Source organism: Homo sapiens, chromosome 2 (genome assembly GCF_000001405.40).
Source record: "Homo sapiens chromosome 2, GRCh38.p14 Primary Assembly".
Lineage (NCBI taxonomy): Eukaryota > Metazoa > Chordata > Mammalia > Primates > Hominidae > Homo > Homo sapiens.
In genome coordinates this window covers 200,939,634-200,958,707 of record NC_000002.12, presented here as the reverse complement: position 1 = coordinate 200,958,707, position 19,074 = coordinate 200,939,634, and the positions used below count along the sequence as shown (strand labels likewise).

General features: G+C 38.2%; 1 protein-coding gene across 10 annotated transcripts in view; it reads left to right on the top strand.

Annotated features, from left to right (window-relative positions):
- ORC2 (origin recognition complex subunit 2) overlaps positions 1-19,074 on the top strand; it is a 54,684-nt gene that overhangs the window by 4,953 nt on the left and 30,657 nt on the right. For 6 of the 10 annotated variants that reach the window (NR_033915.2, XR_002959301.2, NM_006190.5 and 3 more), the window contains exons 3-7: positions 575-678; positions 1,164-1,307; positions 9,065-9,154; positions 15,931-16,023; positions 17,429-17,460. Coding sequence is in view for 8 of the 10 variants with exons in the window: in NM_006190.5 (NP_006181.1) it covers positions 585-678; positions 1,164-1,307; positions 9,065-9,154; positions 15,931-16,023; positions 17,429-17,460 (453 nt within the window). In the remaining 2 variants the exon portion in view is untranslated. Of the gene's footprint in view, positions 1-574; positions 679-1,163; positions 1,308-9,064; positions 9,155-15,560; positions 15,621-15,930; positions 16,024-17,428; positions 17,461-19,074 lie in introns of all 10 variants that reach the window. The other 4 variants (XM_011511252.4, XM_011511253.4, XM_047444568.1 and 1 more) reach the window with 1 other exon arrangement.

Sequence of the window (19,074 nt, the reverse complement as noted above, 5' to 3'; positions counted from 1 at the left end):
AAGATATCTAGAAAGCCATATTCATATTTGTAAAGTTGTTTGGTAAGCATTCCATAAAAGTAAAGGGAGGTGCTTGAGGGTTTTTTGATCCAGGCTTAGGACACAAGTGAAGTTTAACAGACTCCCCACAATTGACTGTAGCTTTCTAGTGAACAGATAATAAAATCCATTAAAGCATTATTCTTTGTTTGGCTGTCACTTTTCTAAACACTCATGTATTAACCACCCCCTTTCTGTTAATGTGCTTATCTGGATTGGTTAGAGCTTTCATTAAAACTTAAAATTGTTTTTCTGAGAATATTTTATTTTATTTTTCTGAGTATATTTTAGCTACCTTGATTGGATTTAGCTCTTCTCAAATCTCAGAATCTCTTTGCCTCCCCAATTTTTTAGATAAAGAATTGAGTTACCTACAGTTGAATATGTAGTAATACAGTAATGCATAATGTATTTTTTATACTTAAAAAGACTTTAAAAATATTAGATAAAGACATGTATTCATTATGTGAATGTTTAATTTGGTGGTTGATATGAATTCTTCATCACTTTTGAGTAACTTACTGTTTTTGTTTAGGTTGGCAACAATGAGTAAACCAGAATTAAAGGAAGACAAGATGCTGGAGGTTCACTTTGTGGGAGATGATGATGTTCTTAATCACATTCTAGATAGAGAAGGAGGTATTAAGTGATTGTACAATTTGAAGAGATGCTTATTATAATGTTTATGGATTATTTCACTTTTAAAACTTTTAACATTTTCTTTTGAAAATATAGCGCAAAGGATTGATCTGGTTAGTAAAACTAAATAAAAACTGCTTTAATTTTTAGTTTAATTCTTTCAAACTTTAATTGAAAATGTTCAGTAAAGCCTAATATAAAACAAAATGCCCAGGAGTGGTAGTCACTAATAACTACCCATTGTAATTTAAAATATGTGGTTATTTTGAACCCTAAAAATATATACTTTCAAGATTGTGTGTGTTTTTTTTTTTAACTATATAAACTGTGGAAGAGTGGTCAGAGTGGTCAGTTTTAATCAAAGAGAAAGCTTTTTTCCCAGCTTTTAAGTAATGACAATATAAATATTATAATTTCTTATTTAAATGTAATGTTTAGAAAGAATTTATACCTGTCATGCTCTATTTCTTTGGATGTTCTTATAGGAGCTAAATTGAAGAAGGAGCGAGCGCAGCTTTTGGTCAACCCCAAAAAAATAATAAAGAAGCCAGAATATGATTTGGAGGAAGATGACCAGGAGGTCTTAAAAGATCAGAACTATGTGGAAATTATGGGAAGAGATGTTCAAGGTATTTGAGGGGGTGAAATATACACTCGTTTCTGCTAGTAGCAGAAATTGCTTTATAGGATACACAAAAGTAGTCTGGTAGGTTAAACAGTGGTGTTCTATATGATCATGTTTCTCATCTAAAAAGCATTTGCTTCAATTTCTCCATAGTTCTTTTTTTTAACAACCAGTCCTGCACATAGTTTTCAGTAAGAAGGAATCTATAGACCAACCACTCTAAAGTTATTTTATTTTTAAAATTTTTCCAGGATACATGTGTACAATGTGCAGGCTTGTTACATAGGTATACATGTGCCATGGTGGTTTGCTGCACCTTTCAACCCATCATCTAGGTTTTAAGCCCCACATGCATTAGCTGTCTGTCCTTATGCTCTCCCTCCCTCCACCCACCCGCAGGCTGTGGCATATGTTGTTCCCCTCCCTGTGTCCATGTGTTCTCATTTTTCAACTCCCACCTATGAGTGAGAATATGCAGTGTGTGGTTTTCTGTTCCTGTGTTAGTTTGCTGAGGATGATGACTTCTAGCTTCATACATGTCCCTGCAAAGGACATGATCTCATTCCTTTTATGGCTGCATAGTACTCCTAAAGTTATTTTCAAGATTATTTATTTATTTATTTATTTATTTTAGAGACAGGGTCTTGCTCAGTCACCCAGATTGGGATGCCATGGCACAATCATAGCTCATTGTAGCCTCCAACTTCTGGGTTCAGGAGATCCTCCCAACTTAGCCACCTGAGTAGCTAGTACTATTTTTAAGGTATTTATTTATGGCCAGACATGGTGGCTCACGCCTGTGATCCCAGTACATTGGGAGACTGAGGCAGGAGGACTGCTTGAGCCCAGGAGTTTGTAACCATCCTAGGCAACATAGTAAGATCCCGTTTCTACAAAAAAAAAAAGTTTTTAATTAGCTGGAAGCTGGGTGTGTGATGGCTCATGCCTGTAATCTCAGCATATTGGGAGACCAAAGCAGATTGATCGCTTGAGTCCAGGAGTTTGAGACTAGCCTGGCATGGTGGCACACACCTGTGGTCCCAGCTATGAGTGAGGCTGAGGTGGGAGGATCACTTGAGCCTGGGAGGTTGAGGCAGCAGTGAGCCGTGATCATACCACTACACTCCAGCCTGGGCAACAGAGTGAGACCCTGTCTCAAAAAAAAAATAAAACTAGCTGAGCATGGTGGCGTGTGCCTGTAGTCCTAGTTACTTGGGAGGCTAACGCAGAGGATTGCTTGAGCCCAGGAGGTTGAGGCTACAGTGAGCTGTGATTGCATCACTATACTCAGCCTGGGTGACAAAGCGAGACCCTAGGTCAAAACAGAACAAAAAAAAGATATTTATATTTTTAACTTATTTAAAATACCTTTCTAAAGCAAGTTACTTTATTCTTACCTTGATCTTTACAGAACTAGGAGGAGCATTTCAAGAAGTAGTGTTCTAACCCAGGGATGCTGGTATTATGTGTGTGGTTTTAATTTTTACATCTAAGCCAGATTCCTGCAAGATTATTCTTAACATAAAACATTTTTTTAGGTTCGAATTATATTTTAGTTAGGTTTTTCCTGGGTACAAGGAACACAGATCCCCACAACCTAGCTTAAAAAAATAATGACAAAGGAAAGAAATCAATATTGTTGGGTACTAGGAGAGTTGGAACTGGGACAGTGTTAAAAACTGAGGAACTGTGCTTTCATGAGTCTCCAGGTCTCCCTGTGTCATCTCTGTGCATCTGTTCTGATTTCTCTATGCCACATATTTTCTTCATGTACATGTGTTTTATTCTCACATACTTATAAATGTCCATCAAGTTCCCAGTGTTAAGTGATTTGGTTTTTCAGTTCTCCCATTCTAGATTCTCAAGAGTCAATTTAGCTCAATTCATTTTTAAAATCTGGACATAGAAATAGCATATAATTGGAATATCCACAGATGAATCACAGTTGAGTTATCTGTGCCTATTACTTATTATATTAATGAACATAATTACATAGTTCATTAACTATGGGGGTAGAGTCATATACTCCATGTATAGAGTTATACAAAAAATGACCACTGCTCCTCAATAGATTTAGTGGGCTGGGTAGGGTCTCCTATGTGTCCACAGCTAGACAGTTGACATTTTTTGAGCATATTCTAAATAAAACTTGGTGTTCTTGACTCCCTATTATGCCAGGCCTAAGAAGAGATTGATAACAGTATTCCACAAAGGAAACTTTTATCATAAAAATTGTCTCTTAAAAAAGTAGTATGTTTGTTGTAGAAATTCAGTGCTTCCAACCTTTCTCACATAACAGCACTCACAGCAAATGATATTTGGAGGCACAATGGAATAAATAGAAGAGGATGCTGCAGACCAAGGACAAATACCCCAGGGCCCTAACCCTACCCCTGCTACTGGCCTTGATTGGCATCCTCAAAGGCCTGAGAGAATCAGTACTCAGCACATATGAAACCCATACCATTTATTTATTTATTTATTTATTTATTTATTTATTCATTCATTCATTCATTCATTCCTCACACTGGGGAACTTTGCCTTATTTTTTGGCATCATGCCCTATGTTTTTCAACCTTTTTAAAATTATTGACCCCTAATTAGCCTTTTTAGACATTTTCTCCTAATCACTTTTTCCCACCCTAAAAATTTCAGTACTACATATATGCTGTATATCTGTTTATGTACTGTGACGCTTTGGAGGGCCACAGACTATTATATTAATAATGTCAAAGTCTTTTTTCCACACTCCCTCCTGTGCCAAGATCCAGTTTTACCCAATTGGGAGATGTATTGTACCTGTCAAGAATGCCTGCTTTAGAGAACGTGGAACCGTTAACATTTCAGTGTGTATCTTCTGTCTGTTCATACATGCATGGGCACACATAAGCTTGCACCATTACGTTTATAAATAGACTTTTTGCAATTAATAATGTATCATATATACATTACTCTGTCATTAGACATTCTTCTACAATAAGAGTTTTGACATGTATTGCCAAATATCCTCCTAAAGTTTATACAGATTACACTATTTAATCATAGTTACATTTTCCTAAAGACTTAGTTTTGGCCAGGTGCAGTGGCTCATGCCTGTAATCTCAGCACTTTGGGAGGCCAAGGCGGGTGGATCGCCTGAGGACGGGAATTCAAGACCAGCCTGGCCAACATGGCGAAACCGTGTCTCTACTAAAAATACAAAAAATTAGCTGGGCGTGGTGGTGGGTGCCTGTAATCTCAGCTACTCGGGAGGCTGAGGCAGGAAAATCGCTTGAACCCGGGAGATGGAGGTTGCAATGAGCCAAGGTCACACCATTGCACTTCAGCCTGGGCAACAAGAGTGAAAATCCATCTCAAAAAAAAAAAAAGAAAAAGAAAGAAAGAAATCCCAAATCCCATCTCTACAAAAAACATACAAAAATTAGCTGGGCGTGGTGGCATGCACCTGTAGTCCTAGCTGCTCAGAAGGCTGAAGTGGGAGGATCACTGGAGCCCAGGAGGTTGAGGCTGCAGTGAGCCACAATCACACCATTGCACACTAGCATGGGTGACAGAGCAAGAATTTATCTCATACACACACAAAAAAGCTTAGCATCTGAACCATTTTTAAAGTGTATGGGTTCAGTGGCATTAGGTACATTCACACCATTTGTAACCAATCTCCCAAACTTTTCTCATTGTACAAAACTGAAATTTATTCATCTGTAGATGGACACTTGGGTTGCTTCAACCTTTTGGGTATTGCGAATGATGCTGCTATGAACATGGGTGTACAAATACCTCTTTGTGACCCTGCATTCAATTCTTTGGGGTTTATACCCATAAGTGGAAATGCTGGATCATGTGCTAATTCTATTTTTAATTTTTTAAGGAACCACCATACTTTTTGCACAGTGGCTGCACCATTTTACATATCAACCTACAGTGTACAAGGGTTCCAATTTCTCCACGTTCTTACCAACACCTATTTCCTTTTTTAAAAAAAAAAAAAAACAGTAGCCCTTTTAATGGATATGAGGCGGTGGTTTTATTTTCTTTTAAATTTAACATATCGTTAAATTCTCAGAGGTCAGTCTTCGGACAAAAAGAACTGTAATAGCTAGTAGTATTGCATTCTAATATATAAATAATGTGTGGTTTTCTATATTATACTTTTGGATTGTTTGTAACTTTTTATTAGTGTAACTAATGCAGTAGTGATTGATTTTGATGTAGGACTTGAGTCTTTGAATGTAAGTTTGTTGGAGATCAGCTGGTTGAACAGTATTGCCTTTTTTTTTTTTTTTTTTTTTGAGACAGGGTCTCACTCTGTCACCTAGGCTGGAGTGCAGTGGCACAATCAAGGCTCACTGCAACCTTAGCCTCCCTGGGCTCAGGTGATCCTCCCACCTAAGCCTCCTGAGTAGCTGCAACTACAGGTGCGGACCACCATGCCTGGCTAGTTTTTGTATATTTTGTAGAGGTGGAGTCTCACCATGTTGACCAGGCTGGTCTCAAACCCCTAGGCTCAAGTGATCTGCCAGCCTCAGCCTATCCAAAGTGCTGAGATTAGAGGTGTAAGCAATTATGCCCAGCCTGCTTTTTTTTTTTTTAATTTTTAAGCTATCATATCCATAATGCATCAACTGGAATTTTCCAGTTTCATTTTCTTCCAATAAACTGATAACTTAATGATACTTTTGATGCTATCTGAGTGTAGTAGGCTTTCATGTTTCTCAAATTTTCTCTTAAATCTTTTACAGTTTCTCATTCTCACCTTATTTAAAACCAGTTGTTTTAGTTAATAACTTTTTCAAGTTTATATTTTGTCTATATTTGACATTCAGACAAAAATAAATTATATAGGCCGGGCGCGGTGGCTCATGCCTGTAATCCCAGCACTTTGGGAGGCCAAGGTGGGTGGATCATGAGGTCAGGAGATCGAGACCATCCTGGCTAACACAGTGAAACCCTGTCCCTACTAAAAATACAAAAAAAATTAGCCGGGTGTGGTGGCGGGCGACTGTAGTCCCAGCTACTCGGGAGGTGGAGGCAGGAGAATGGCATGAACCCAGGAGGCAGAGCTTGCAGTGAGCCTAGATCGTGCCACTGCACTCCAGCCTGGGCGACAGAGTGAGACTCCGTCTCAAAAAATAAATAAATAAATAAATTATATAAATATATAGTTATACATTCTATATTCTAATTATATATTCTAGTTGTAGTTCTATCATTGCAGTAACAAGTTCTCCATAAATAGATTTGTGCATATATGAAAACTAGATATACTGTAGAAGTAGCATTGCAGATCACTGGGCTAGTGATGAACTGGTCAGTAAATGGTGATGGGACAATTGTATATTCCCATTTTAAAAAAAAGGCCCTCTACCTCCCTTTATAAACAGATTAATTACCTTAATTATTTAAACATGAAAAGCAAATTGTAAATGCTTTTAGACAAAAATATAAGAGAATATGGTTTTGGTCTTGATTACAGAAAGTTTTCTTAGAAAATATGTAATCAAAAGAAAAGATTGACAAATTCAACTAATTAAAATTCATTGTTTCTCAAGAAAGTGAGAAGACTACAGACTAGAAGAAAATGTTGCAGAAGACATGTCTGATAAAGGACTTTTAATCCAAAATATACAAAGAGCTTTTAAAATTCAGCAATAAGAAAACAATTTAATTAAAAAATAGGCAAATAGGTATTTGAACAGATACCATATGCTTATTTGCCATCTATTTTTATTCTTTATTACCAAGGAAAATAAACAGATGGCCAATAAGCATATGAAAATATGCTCAATATCATATCATTAGGGAATTGCAAATTAAAACAAAATGAGATACCACTATACACCTATTAGAATAGCCAAAATCCAAAACACGAATACCACCAAATACTGATTAGGATGTGGAGCAGCAAGAACTCATTTATCTCTAGTTAATGCAAAATGGTGCAGCCCCATGAAAAACAGCTGTGCTGCTGCTTATGAAACTCAACATACTCTAACTATATAATCCAGTAGTTATGTTTCTTAGTATTTACCCAAATGAGTTGAATACTTATGTCCACACAAAAACCTGCAGGTGGACCTTTATAGCAATTTCATTCACAATGGCCAAAACTTGGAAGCAACAAAGAGGTCGTTCAGTAGATGAATGGATGAACAAACTGGCACATCCTGACCATGGAGTATTCAGCACTTAAATAAAAAAGAGCTATCAAGCCATGAACAAGATATGAAAGGACCTTAAAAGTATGTTACTAAGTGAAATAAGCCAATCTGAAAAGGCTACATACTGTATGATTCCAACTATATGACATTCTGGAAAATGCAAAACTGTGGAGACAGTAAAAAGACTAGTGTAAAGTCTATTTTATAAGAAACCAGCACTTTCCTTCAAATGACACCATAAAAAGAGTGTAAAGACAAGCCACAGCGTAAAGAAGATATTTTTTCTGAGAAGAAACCTGTAAAAAAATGTTCAGTGTCATTAATGATTAAGGAAATACAAATTTAAGACGCCTCTCTTCAGTTTATACCCATTGTTTGACAAAGATTAAGGAGTTTGGATAAAACCAAGCGTTGGTGGAAATACAGATCACTAGGAAAGCTTAATAAGGAGGATGAGCACACACTTTGGAAAGTTTGACACCATTTTCTAATAAATCCATTAAGTATTGACAAAAATTACATATATTTAAATGAAAACAACTTTCAATAACTTAATGAGGAGGGCATTGTTTTCTATTTTTAATGTCTGGCTTCATTGAAGGCAACTGGATTTTCTTCTTCACGCATTCCATTAGTCAATATGGTAACTTGTTATCACATCATGTCGTCTCTGGCATACCTCACTGTACACTCTTGTTTGAGAGTCAAAAGTTAATTAATGTCTTAGTATTATTACGAAGTAATTTTGACCTCAGGGATCCTAGCAACCCTCAGGCCACATGTTGGAAATTGCTGTGATAGAAAGTAGGATACTAGAAATGAATGTTCACTGTGTTGTAGGTAGCAGTTGATATTTAAAGAGGAGATTGAAGAATGTCAGTTAAGTCAGGATCTGTGAAGAAAGCTTTTTTTTTTGATACTTTATCACTTTATCACCGAGGCTGGAGTGCAGTGGCACAATCTCTGCTCACCGCAACCTCTGCCTCCCAGGTTCAAGCAATTCTTCTGCCTCAGCCTCCTGAGTAGCTGGAACTACAGGCATGTGCCCCCATGCCCGGCTAATTTTTTGTATTTTCAGTAGAGACGAGGTTTCACTGTGTTAGCCAGGATGCTCTCAATCTCCTGACCTCGTGATCACCTGGCTCAGCCTCCCAAAGTGCTGGGATTACAGGTGTGAGCCACTGCGCCCGGCCAAGAAAGCTTCTACCATAAAACAGCTGTTTAAATCTCAACCTCAACAATTGTACTTTTCATCTTTGCTTCAGAAAATAAATATAACCAAAAAACTCCCTTTAGTCCTCCCTTCCCAGGGACAACTGTTACTAGGAATTGAATGCATATCCCTCTAATCTGGGGTTTTGCTATGGTTTTGTATTTTTACATAGATGTCTGTGTATCTTTGAATAGCATGTTAAAACTTATATAAACAGTTTCATAGCCTGTTTTCTTTACTATGTATTTCCAAATATTTTATATATAAATATAGTTAAATCTTTATGCAAGGCTATGAGGGGTACAAATCTTAAGTTTTTTTGTTAAAATTTTTTTCTGTTAATTTTGTTCTTTTTTCCTAAATGTATATTGCATTTTTTTCTTTCAGAATCATTGAAAAATGGCTCTGCTACAGGTGGTGGAAATAAAGTTTATTCTTTTCAGAATAGAAAACACTCTGAAAAGATGGCTAAATTAGGTATGTTGCTTTTCTGATTTCTATAACTATTACTCATCTTTCCTAAGGTAGATTTAACCACATTCCCCATGATTATTATACCACTACATTTCCTAAAAGAATGAAGAGAGATTCCCTATGGTTTAGGGAATAATGAGACGTTCCCTAAAAGAAGGATGTTATATTAAGCACAATTAAGTTCATTTGTTTTTTTCATGCTCAGATGTCTTCTGTTTTCAGCTAGATTATAAGCTTCTTGTAGTATGTGCACAGTCTTTGTTTTTCTTTAGTCCTCTCCAAAATATGTAGCTTAGTTTCTTTTTTTTTTTTTTTAAAGGTGGAGTCTCACTCTGTTGCCCAAGCTGGAGTGCAGTGGTGCAATCTCGGCTCACTGCAACCTCCACCTCCTGGGTTCAAGCAATTCTCCTGCCTCAGCCTCCTGAGTAGCTGAGACTACAGGTGTGCTCCACCACACCCGGCTAATTTTTTTGTATTTTTAGTAGAGAAGGGGTTTCACCATGTTGGCCAGGTTGGTCTCAAACTCCAAACCTCAAGTGATCCACCCACCTCGGCTTCCCAAAGTGCTGGGATTACAGGCATGAGTCACCATGCCCGGCCATAGCTTAGTTTCTTCACAAATTTTTTTGAAGTAACAAGTGAGAATCACATAGAGATATTCTGAATTGATTAATAAATAAGAGTTTTGCTGGGCATGGTTGCTCACGGCTGTAATCCCAGCACTTTGGGAAGCTGAGGCAGGAGGCAGGCAGATCCCTTGAGGTCAAGAGTTTGAGACCAGCCTGGCTAACATGGTAAAACCCCGTCTCTACTAAAAATACGAAAAATGAGCCAGGCGTGGTGGCACGTGCCTGTAGTCCTAGCTATCCAGGAGGCTGAGGCAGGAGAATCACTTGAACCTGGGAGGCAGAGGTTGCAGTGAGCCGAGATTGTGCCATTGCACTCCAGCCTGGGTGACAGAACAAGACTCCATCTCAAAAAACAAACAAACAAAAAAACCCAGAGTTTTACCCTGTATATGGAAAAATGTTGTTTATATTACAGAAAAATGCTTATATAAAGTTATTAGTAATGGTCTTCTAACATTTTTCTTACTTGAGTTACCACCTATACCAATTAACACTTCAGTTGCTGATTTTCAGAGAACTAAGCTGTAATAAATTACATATAACCTTAAAATTAAACTGTCAATTATTTTTCAAAATTCAGGCCAGGCATGGTAGCTCATGCCTGTAATCTCAGCACTTTGGGTGGCCAAGACAGGAGGATCGCTTGAGGCCAGTAGTTCAGTACCAGCCTGGGCAACATAGCGAAACCCTGTCTCTACAGAAAATTTAAAAATTAGGCTGGGTGCAGTGGCTCACGCCTGTAATCCCAGCACTTTGGGAGGCCGAGGCAGGTGGATCACAAGGTCAGAAGATCGAGACCATCCTGGCTAACACAGTGAAACCCCGTCTCTACTAAAAATACAAAAAAAAAAATTAGCCAGGCGTGGTGGCGGGCGACTGTAGTCCCAGCTACTCGGGAGGTTGAGGCAGGAGAATGGCGTGAACCCGGGAGGCGGAGCTTGCAGTGAGCCGAGATCGCGCCACTGCACTCCAGCCTGGGCGACAGAGCGAGACTCAGTCTCAAAAAAAAAAAGAAAATTAAAAAATTAGCCAGGCATGGTGGTACATGCCTATAGTCCCAGCTACTTGGGAGGCTGAAGCAGGAGGATGACTTGAGCCTAGGGGTTCAAGGTTGCAGTGAGCCATGATCACACCACTACACTCCAGCCTGGGTGACAGAGTGAAACCCTGTCTCAAAAAAACAAAAACAAAAAAATCAGATGGCACTGTATTTCGATCTTGTGGTATGAGGGGGTCATCATTTTTGAAAGCAGTAAGGAAGGGAAATAATATATGTGAAAGCACTTTGAAAATTATAAAGGTATATAAATACAAAGTTTGGAAATACCAAAAAGTCAGGAACAAAAGTATAATAATTATCCACCTGGTAAATGTAATAGTTGAAAAAGAGGGCTTATAACGTATAATTATAAAACACCTATGGATATTTCTTCAGTGGTTTGTTTTTATTCAATCACTGTAGCCAATGACACATGTAAACATTCAAGGTCAAGTAAAAATAAAATATGTTAAATGTTGACACTGATGAGGAATATATGAGAAGTAATTATAAAACCTGTATTTCTGAATATAAGTTAATCAGTTGCCAAAATCAGTTTAGTTTTTCTAAAATGTGTAACATTAAATACATTACTGATTTTGAACATAACATGGTACATACAATAATTTACATTAATTGATGTGTTTCTTAGTATTTATTATCTACATCAAGAAATTAAGTTTTTTTGGTTGGTCGCGGTGGCTCGCTCCTGTAATCCCAGCACTTTGGGAGGCCGAGGTAGGTGGATCACTTGAGGTCAGGAGTTCAAGACCAGCCTGGCCAACATGGTGAAACCCAGCTCTACTAAAAATACAAAAATTAGCTGGGTGTGGTGGCACACACCTGTAATTCTGGCTACCTGGGAGGCTGAGGCAGGAGAATCACTTGAACCCAGAACGTGGAGGTTGCAGTGAGCCAAGATTGCACCACTGCACTCCAGCCTGGGTGACAGAAAGAGACTCCATCTGAAAAAACAAGAAATTAAGTTTTTAAATCTATAAAAATGACTGAATCCTGTATAGGAGCACTGAGAAACCAGAGAAGAAATGCTGATGTAATAATTAGAAAGATAAAGTAGACAGCAAGACCAAAATGAAACCCTAGGACAATGGTGCAGGACAAAGAAATACCACTGGAGAAAGAGGAGAATTATTATTGTAAAGTGAAATAGAACTCACAGGAGTAATCAAGTAGTAGTTCTCCATTTGGAGAATTAGCATGCTCATAACTTAAAGATGATAATGTGTTGTATTTGTAAGCACTGCATAAAACTGGAATATTATCCTCATTCTGCGCATTTCTGTCATCATATCTGAAAGAAATACACATTTTAAAGTCATGAGAAGATAGTTTTATAGATATTTCGTCTTTATTATTATGACCATGAAATTTCAGGAACGCAGTTTAACAGACTGATCAGACTTTCTATAATCTTTGTTTAGTTATGATGCTCTTTAATGAATTTCATTGACTCATTAAGTATTGTTGCTAATTGTGTTTACATCTAAATATATCAGTAAAATAGAATGCCTTAATATTTAATAAATAACATGATCTGCCAGAAAATCATATGTTATTCTGAGTATAAATGATGATTTTGTCCAGGCATGGTAGCTCACACCTATAATCCCAACACTTTGAGAGGAAAAGGTAAGAGGATCACTTAAGCCCAGGAGTTTGAGACCAGCCCGTGCAACCTAGTGAGACCTTGTCTCTATAAAAAAAAATTAAAAAAAAAAATAGATTTTCATATAATTGGGCTAACCAAGATATAGGGCTAGAAATAGACTATAAGTTAGATAGGAAGGCTTTGTAAAATACAGAGAATGTATCTAGAGTAAGAAAATAAATGTAAACAAAAGAGCAAAAGTAGAAGTACCAGGTAGAGAAGAAAGTGAGGAGTTCAGTCAGGCTGGAGAAATAAATGGGTAAATTAAAAATAGATTGAGATCCAGCAATCCCACTACTAGATATATACCCAAAGGGTATGAAATGAGTATGTCGAAGAGATATCTGCACTCCCGTGTTCATTGCAGTATTATTTTGCAATATCCAGGATATGGAATCAAGCTAAATGTTCATCAACAGAGGAGCAGATAAATATAAATGAGGTAAAAGAAAATAAGTATCTTTTTAAAAAAATTAGAAAATAGATTGGTTAGATAGGACCAGATAATAGACTAATCTAAAGCTATCATTAGACAGAGACCAGTTTATTGTGTAAAATACAATACAGATGAATTAATAGAATAATGAATATAAAGATACAAAATTTATGCCCTATTTTTTTTTGCAAGCCCACAAATAATATCATAATTTTTTTTAAGGGTCTCACTGTATTGCCCCGGCTGGAACGTGTGGTGTAATCTTGGCTTGCTGCAACTTCCATGTCCTAGGCTCAAGCAATTTTCCTGCCTCAGCTTCCTTTCCTCAGTGTCCCTTTAGCTCGGGCTAAAGTCACACGCCACCACACCTGGCTAATTTTTCTATTCTTTTGTAGAGACAGGGTTTCTTCATGTTGCCCAGTCTGGTCTCGAACTCCTAGACTCAAGTGATCCACCCACCTCGGTCTCCCAAAGTGCTGGGATTATAGGCTTGAGCCACCATGTCCAGGTCTAATTTTCTATTAATAGAGTCAACAGCCATGCCATTACATTTCATTTAATATCATCAAAAACAAATATGACATAGGAGCAAGAAAAGAATAAAAACTGTACACATGCATTGAAAGTGTGCATGTAGATGATTAATACAGAGCAAAGGTCAGCCAGCTTTTTCTGTAAAGGGCCAGACAGTAAATATTTTCAGCTCTGTGAGCTAGACAGTCTCTGTTGTGACTACTGAACTTGGCTGTTGTAGCTGAAAAGCAGCCACAGACAATACGTATGGATGGTGTGGCTACATAAAGCTGTACTTAAAACAAGTGGAAAGGCTGGGTTTGGCCCCATAGACTTATAGCTTGCTGACCCCTGACATAAAGAAACACTGTAACTTTTTGCCATTCATAGTCATAACTAAACACAAAGTTATGTGTTAAATAGTGATTCACCGCTGGGCGTGGTGACTCATGCTTGTAATCTTAGCACTTTGAGAGGCCGAGGCGGGAGGAGAACTTGAGGCCAGGAGTTTGAAACCAGCCTGAGCAACATAGGAAGACCCAGTCTCTACAAAAATTTAAAAATTAGCTAGGCATAGTGGCGCACGCCTGTGGTCTCAGCTATTTGGGAGTTTGAGGTGGGAGGATTGCTTGGGCCCAGGAGGTCAAGGCTGCAGTGAGCCATGATCACGCCAGTGTACTCCTGGGCGACAGGTACTTGTACTAGGCATTGTGCCTGGTGCTTATTAGACATGTTGAGTCATCCAAGAGGTGTTGGAATGTCTGCCTATCTCTGTGTGCTCACAAAAATGACTATCTTAGCCGGGCGCGGTGGCTCACACCTGTAATCCCAGCACTTTGGGAGGCCAAGGCAGGCAGATCACGAGGTCAGGAGTTTGAGACTAGCCTGGCCAGCATGGTGAAACCCCCGCTCTACTAAAAATACAAAAAATTAGGTGGGCATGATGGCACACATGTGTAATCCCAGCTACTCAGGAGGCTGAGGCTGGATAACTGCTTGAACCTGGGAGGCAGAGGGTGCAGTGAGCTGAGATCGCACCACTGCACTCCAGCCTGGGCGACAGAGCAAGACTCTATCTCAAAAAAAAAGAGACTATCTTGTTCTTAATCCTCTTCAATTCTTCCTTTTTATTCTTTTCTCCCTGGCTCCTTTGTAGTTTAATAGTTATTTAAAATCAGGTGGAGCATTTTTATGTTTCAGTATAACACCAAAATGATCTCAGCTAAGTTGCTTTTGTTGCTTCTTTTCATATGAAGTTTTTTCCCTATCCTGTGAATCAGCCTTTAATCCAAAAATGACATAAAGAGAAGAGCAAGGACTGAGCCTTAAGTATGCCTAGAATGTTGAGGAGGCTGAGGACAGTGAAGAAGAGATGAAATAACCACAACCAGTAGCTTGGGAACCAGGATAATGTCATAAGACTCAAATGGAGGAATTAATATCAAGGGAAGATTAAAAAAAAAAAAAAAACTTAGTGAATCATATAGAAGACCGAAGGGATTAAGGAAGAAGAAGCAGCCAATTCATTTGTAGAGATTGTTATGAGTATTTTGGGTCAGTTTCAAGACTGGAGGATAAAAATGGGGGCAGGTTAGAAAGGTTTAGGAGCCAGTAAAATGGCTTTCACTTGTACAAATTTAACTACACCTTCTCCATTTAGAGAAAAAAAGCAAAAAAGCAGTTAATTTGGTATGTGCCCTTTTTCTCAGTGAACAGTGTCCCAGTGTGAGAGTTAACTTGGAAAAGGTAAATCTGTTTCTTCATTTGGGTTCATTTTCCACATGCCTCTCATGGTGTGAGTGTGAGAGCATCATTAAAGATAACACTTATATTTTTTTATTTAAAATGGCCTCTATTATAAGTGATTTGGTCTTTGGTCTTTAGAAAAAAAAAGCGAGAGAAAGAAAATTGTTAAAGTAAAAATAAAATGGCCCCTAAACAAAAGACCACTATTCCATTTATTCTCGGTTGAAGAAATGGCCATCTGTTCAACACTCTATTTTATGTATTATTTATATGTATTATAGACTTTTTGGCACAAAATAAACTGTTCACACTTTATGGAAGATTTAAAAGATTTTAAAGTATAATTTTAACTCTGCACAGTTTTCACTTGATTTTAGATCTCACTTTCTGGCCCTTCTTTCTCACCCCCCATCAAAGATGTGCCTCAACTATATATGGTAAGAAATGAAAGGAACATAAGTGGTTGATGGAGAGGAGAGTATGGTAATTAGAGAAAGCAGCAAGGTCAAAGTTAGTTATTTGTATTTTCTTTTAAAGAAATCTGTGGGTAATATGAAGGAAAATTTGAAGATTCTGGGAAGACAGCTAATAAAGGTGAAAGCAGTATTACTCCTAATATGGGTAGGATTATTTTTCTGATAAAAGTAACAGAGGTTTTTAAAGAATTTTTGTAAGCGTAATAAGGTTATTTCCCTCTTTATCTACTGTTGTCCTTTAAAAGGTTTTTATATATTTCTTTGTTTACAGCTTCAGAACTAGCAAAAACACCACAAAAAAGTGTTTCATTCAGTTTGAAGAATGATCCTGAGATTACGATAAACGTTCCTCAAAGTAGCAAGGGTAAGACATTACATTAGTTCTTTGAAAAGAATTTTCATAGTTGCTTCAAGATAGAGCATGTTACTTTTTTCCTTGTTTGTGAATTTTTATATATATTTTCTTCTTTTCTGAAAATTCATTCAACAAAATGCAATTAATATTTCAACTCATGTACCTTAGTATACCCGTGTTTAGCAGTCAGTAAGAGGGAAAAATATCTGTGCTAACTGAAGTTGTGCAAATTGACAGGGTTAACCAGAAATAGTCTTTAAGTCCTGTTGTCATGTGCTTGAGTTAGCCAATTATTTATAGAAGATTTGGCTTTGGGAAATACTATATGAAATAAGGCGTTTGGAGTTTGGAAGTCTTACAGATTGTGGAGCAGCTGTTTTTGAATGATCCATTCTAACTAGATTAAAAAGTGTACATTTCGTTGCTCTTTATTTATATTTTTGTTTTTGTTTTTGAACACCAATGTCACTTGCCGACATTTCTGTTTTTTTCATTTTTTAGAGACAGGGTCTCGCTATGTTGCCCAGGCTGAAGTGCATTGGCTATTCACAGGCACAATTACAGCACACTATTAAAGCCTTGAATTCCTGGGCTCAAGTGATCCTCTAGCCTCAGCCTCTCGTGTAACAGGGCCTATAAGCACACCGCATTGTGTCTGGCTCCATTGTACTTTTTTTTTTTTCTTTTTTTTTGAGAAGGAGTCTCGCTTTTCACCCAGGCTGGAGTGCTGGAGTGCTGGAGTGCAGTGGTGTGATCTTGGCTCATTGCAACCTCTGCCTTCTGGGTTCAAGCAATTCTCCTGCCTCAGACTCCTGAATAACTGGGATTACAGGTACCTGCCAACATGCCCAGCTAATTTTTGCATTTTTAGTAGAAATGGGGTTTCACCCTGTTGGTCAGGCTGTTTTCTAACTCCTGACCTCAAGCGATCCTCCTGCCTTGGCCTCCCAAAGTGCTGGGATTACGGGCGTGAGCCACCGCTCCTGGACAGTTGTACTTTTCAATAATCAAAATTTAAAAGGGCTCCGTTTTTCTTGTTAGAATGCTACAGAAATGCAGGAAGTAGCTGTTAAAAATGTGAGTAATCATGAAACTAATAGTGATAATCCTCCGGTGGAGATGGAATTAATTTATAATTCAGTAATAATGTGGTGGCTTCTATGTAGAAGCTGCAACTTTGCTTTTTTTTTTTTTTTTTAATTTTTAATTTTTTGAATAGACACAGGATCACGCTATGATGCTCAGGTTGGTCTTGAACTCCTGGCCTCAAGCAATCTTCCTGCCTTGCCTCCCAAAGTGCTGGGATTACAGATGTGAGCCACCATGCCTGGCAAACTTTACTTTTAATGAAACTAGACCACAATGAAAAGTGAAGTGTCCGTAGTAAGTCATGGCTTTTTGTTTCATTCTTTAGGCCATTCTGCTTCAGACAAGGTTCAACCGAAGGTAAGCAATTGACTAAAAAGCAAAAGCCTTAGTGTTACAAAGTAAGACATGATGAAAAATTGCCAGAAATTCAATGAAAAAATTGATCTCTTAATTTATATAGTGCTTTGTAATTTACAGATATTTGGCAGTTAAATACCTAACTTATAGGTGGAGAATTTGAGGTTCAGAGAGGTAAAGTGACTTGTGTGAGTTCACTTGACTAGGAAGGAGAACAGCTAGAAAATGAAGCCAGGCCTCCCAGACCCAACTGTTGTGCTTTTTCTGCTGTGTGTAGCTGGCCTGAAAATGTTTGGGGTTTTGCTTTTATGTATCATGTTCTGTTTCTTTTGCAGGGGGAAGAGGGCAGTGTTGTGCAGTTTGATCCCAAGATGCATTAGATCCATTACTCTATATTTTTATCTCCTCCTTTGTGGGGTTTTTTCTTTGTTTGTTTGTTTGTTTTTGAGACGGAGTCTTACTCTGTCGCCCAGGCTGGAGTGCAGTGGCGTGGTCTCGGCTCACTGCAACCTCCACCTTCCAGGTTCAAGTGATTCTTACACCTCAGCCTCCTGAGTAGCTGGGATTACAGGTGTGCACCACCACGCCTGGCTAATTTTTGTATTTTTAGTAGAGGCAAGGCTTCACCATGTTGGCCAGGCCGGTCTTGAACTCCTGACCTCAAGTGATCCATCCACCTGGGCCTCTCAAAGTACTGGGATTTCAGGTGTGAGCCACCACGCCTGGCCTCCTTTGTGTTTTTGTGGTATAATTTTCTCATTATGCCTTTTCAAGTGGTGAGTGTTCCATGAAAGGGCCATATATGCAAAGCATCCCCCAAATGCCAAAGGAGCCAAGAAACCAAAGGACAAGGCAGACAAGTTTAGTTTGTCTGTAAAGGGTATTTTATTAGAGACAGAAGCATGGTCTTGGGCAGCCACAAGACAGGTAGCTCTCTGCAGTGTTACTCCCCAGACCCACGGCTTACCTACCATAAGGAAAGGGTATACATGTTCCAGCAAGATAATTAAAGGCAACCCTCTTTAATTGTCAAGAGGGCAAGAATGCTATATGCATTGTAGCCAGTAATTTGTGTGATAATATCAAGGTTGACATGTTCTTTCACAGAAGGCAGTACATAAAGTAGGAATCAGGAGGCATTCATGAGACTGGGGCTAATCAGAAGTTAACGTGATGGATTAGCATCCAAGATGGAGTAACTTTTGTCTCCACAGTCAGTATAGACATTTAAGGCCATGGTTATGGCCTGTGCAGGAATGTCCTATTTAGACAAGTCTAGGTATGGGATTAGACATGCCAGACTTTCATTTGTCTTTAATAATGCTTTTTTCTTATGTCTTGTGTGTTCTATCACTATAAAAGGAAAAAAACTCATTGCCATAATCTAATCAAGAATTTAGATTATTCTTTCTCAAGTTATAGATTATAACCCATTAGAAGATATTGTCAACTCTCCCAAAAAACCAGAAAAACCTGTTGATGAAACAAAGCTACCTATCACAATAAGAGACAACATCGTTGTGACAGAATCTTAGTGTACTGTCTTAGAAAAGCAAGTTCAAGAGAAAATATGTATCGGGCTTGGGGATCCTGGGCTCAAGTGGCTTAAAGCAG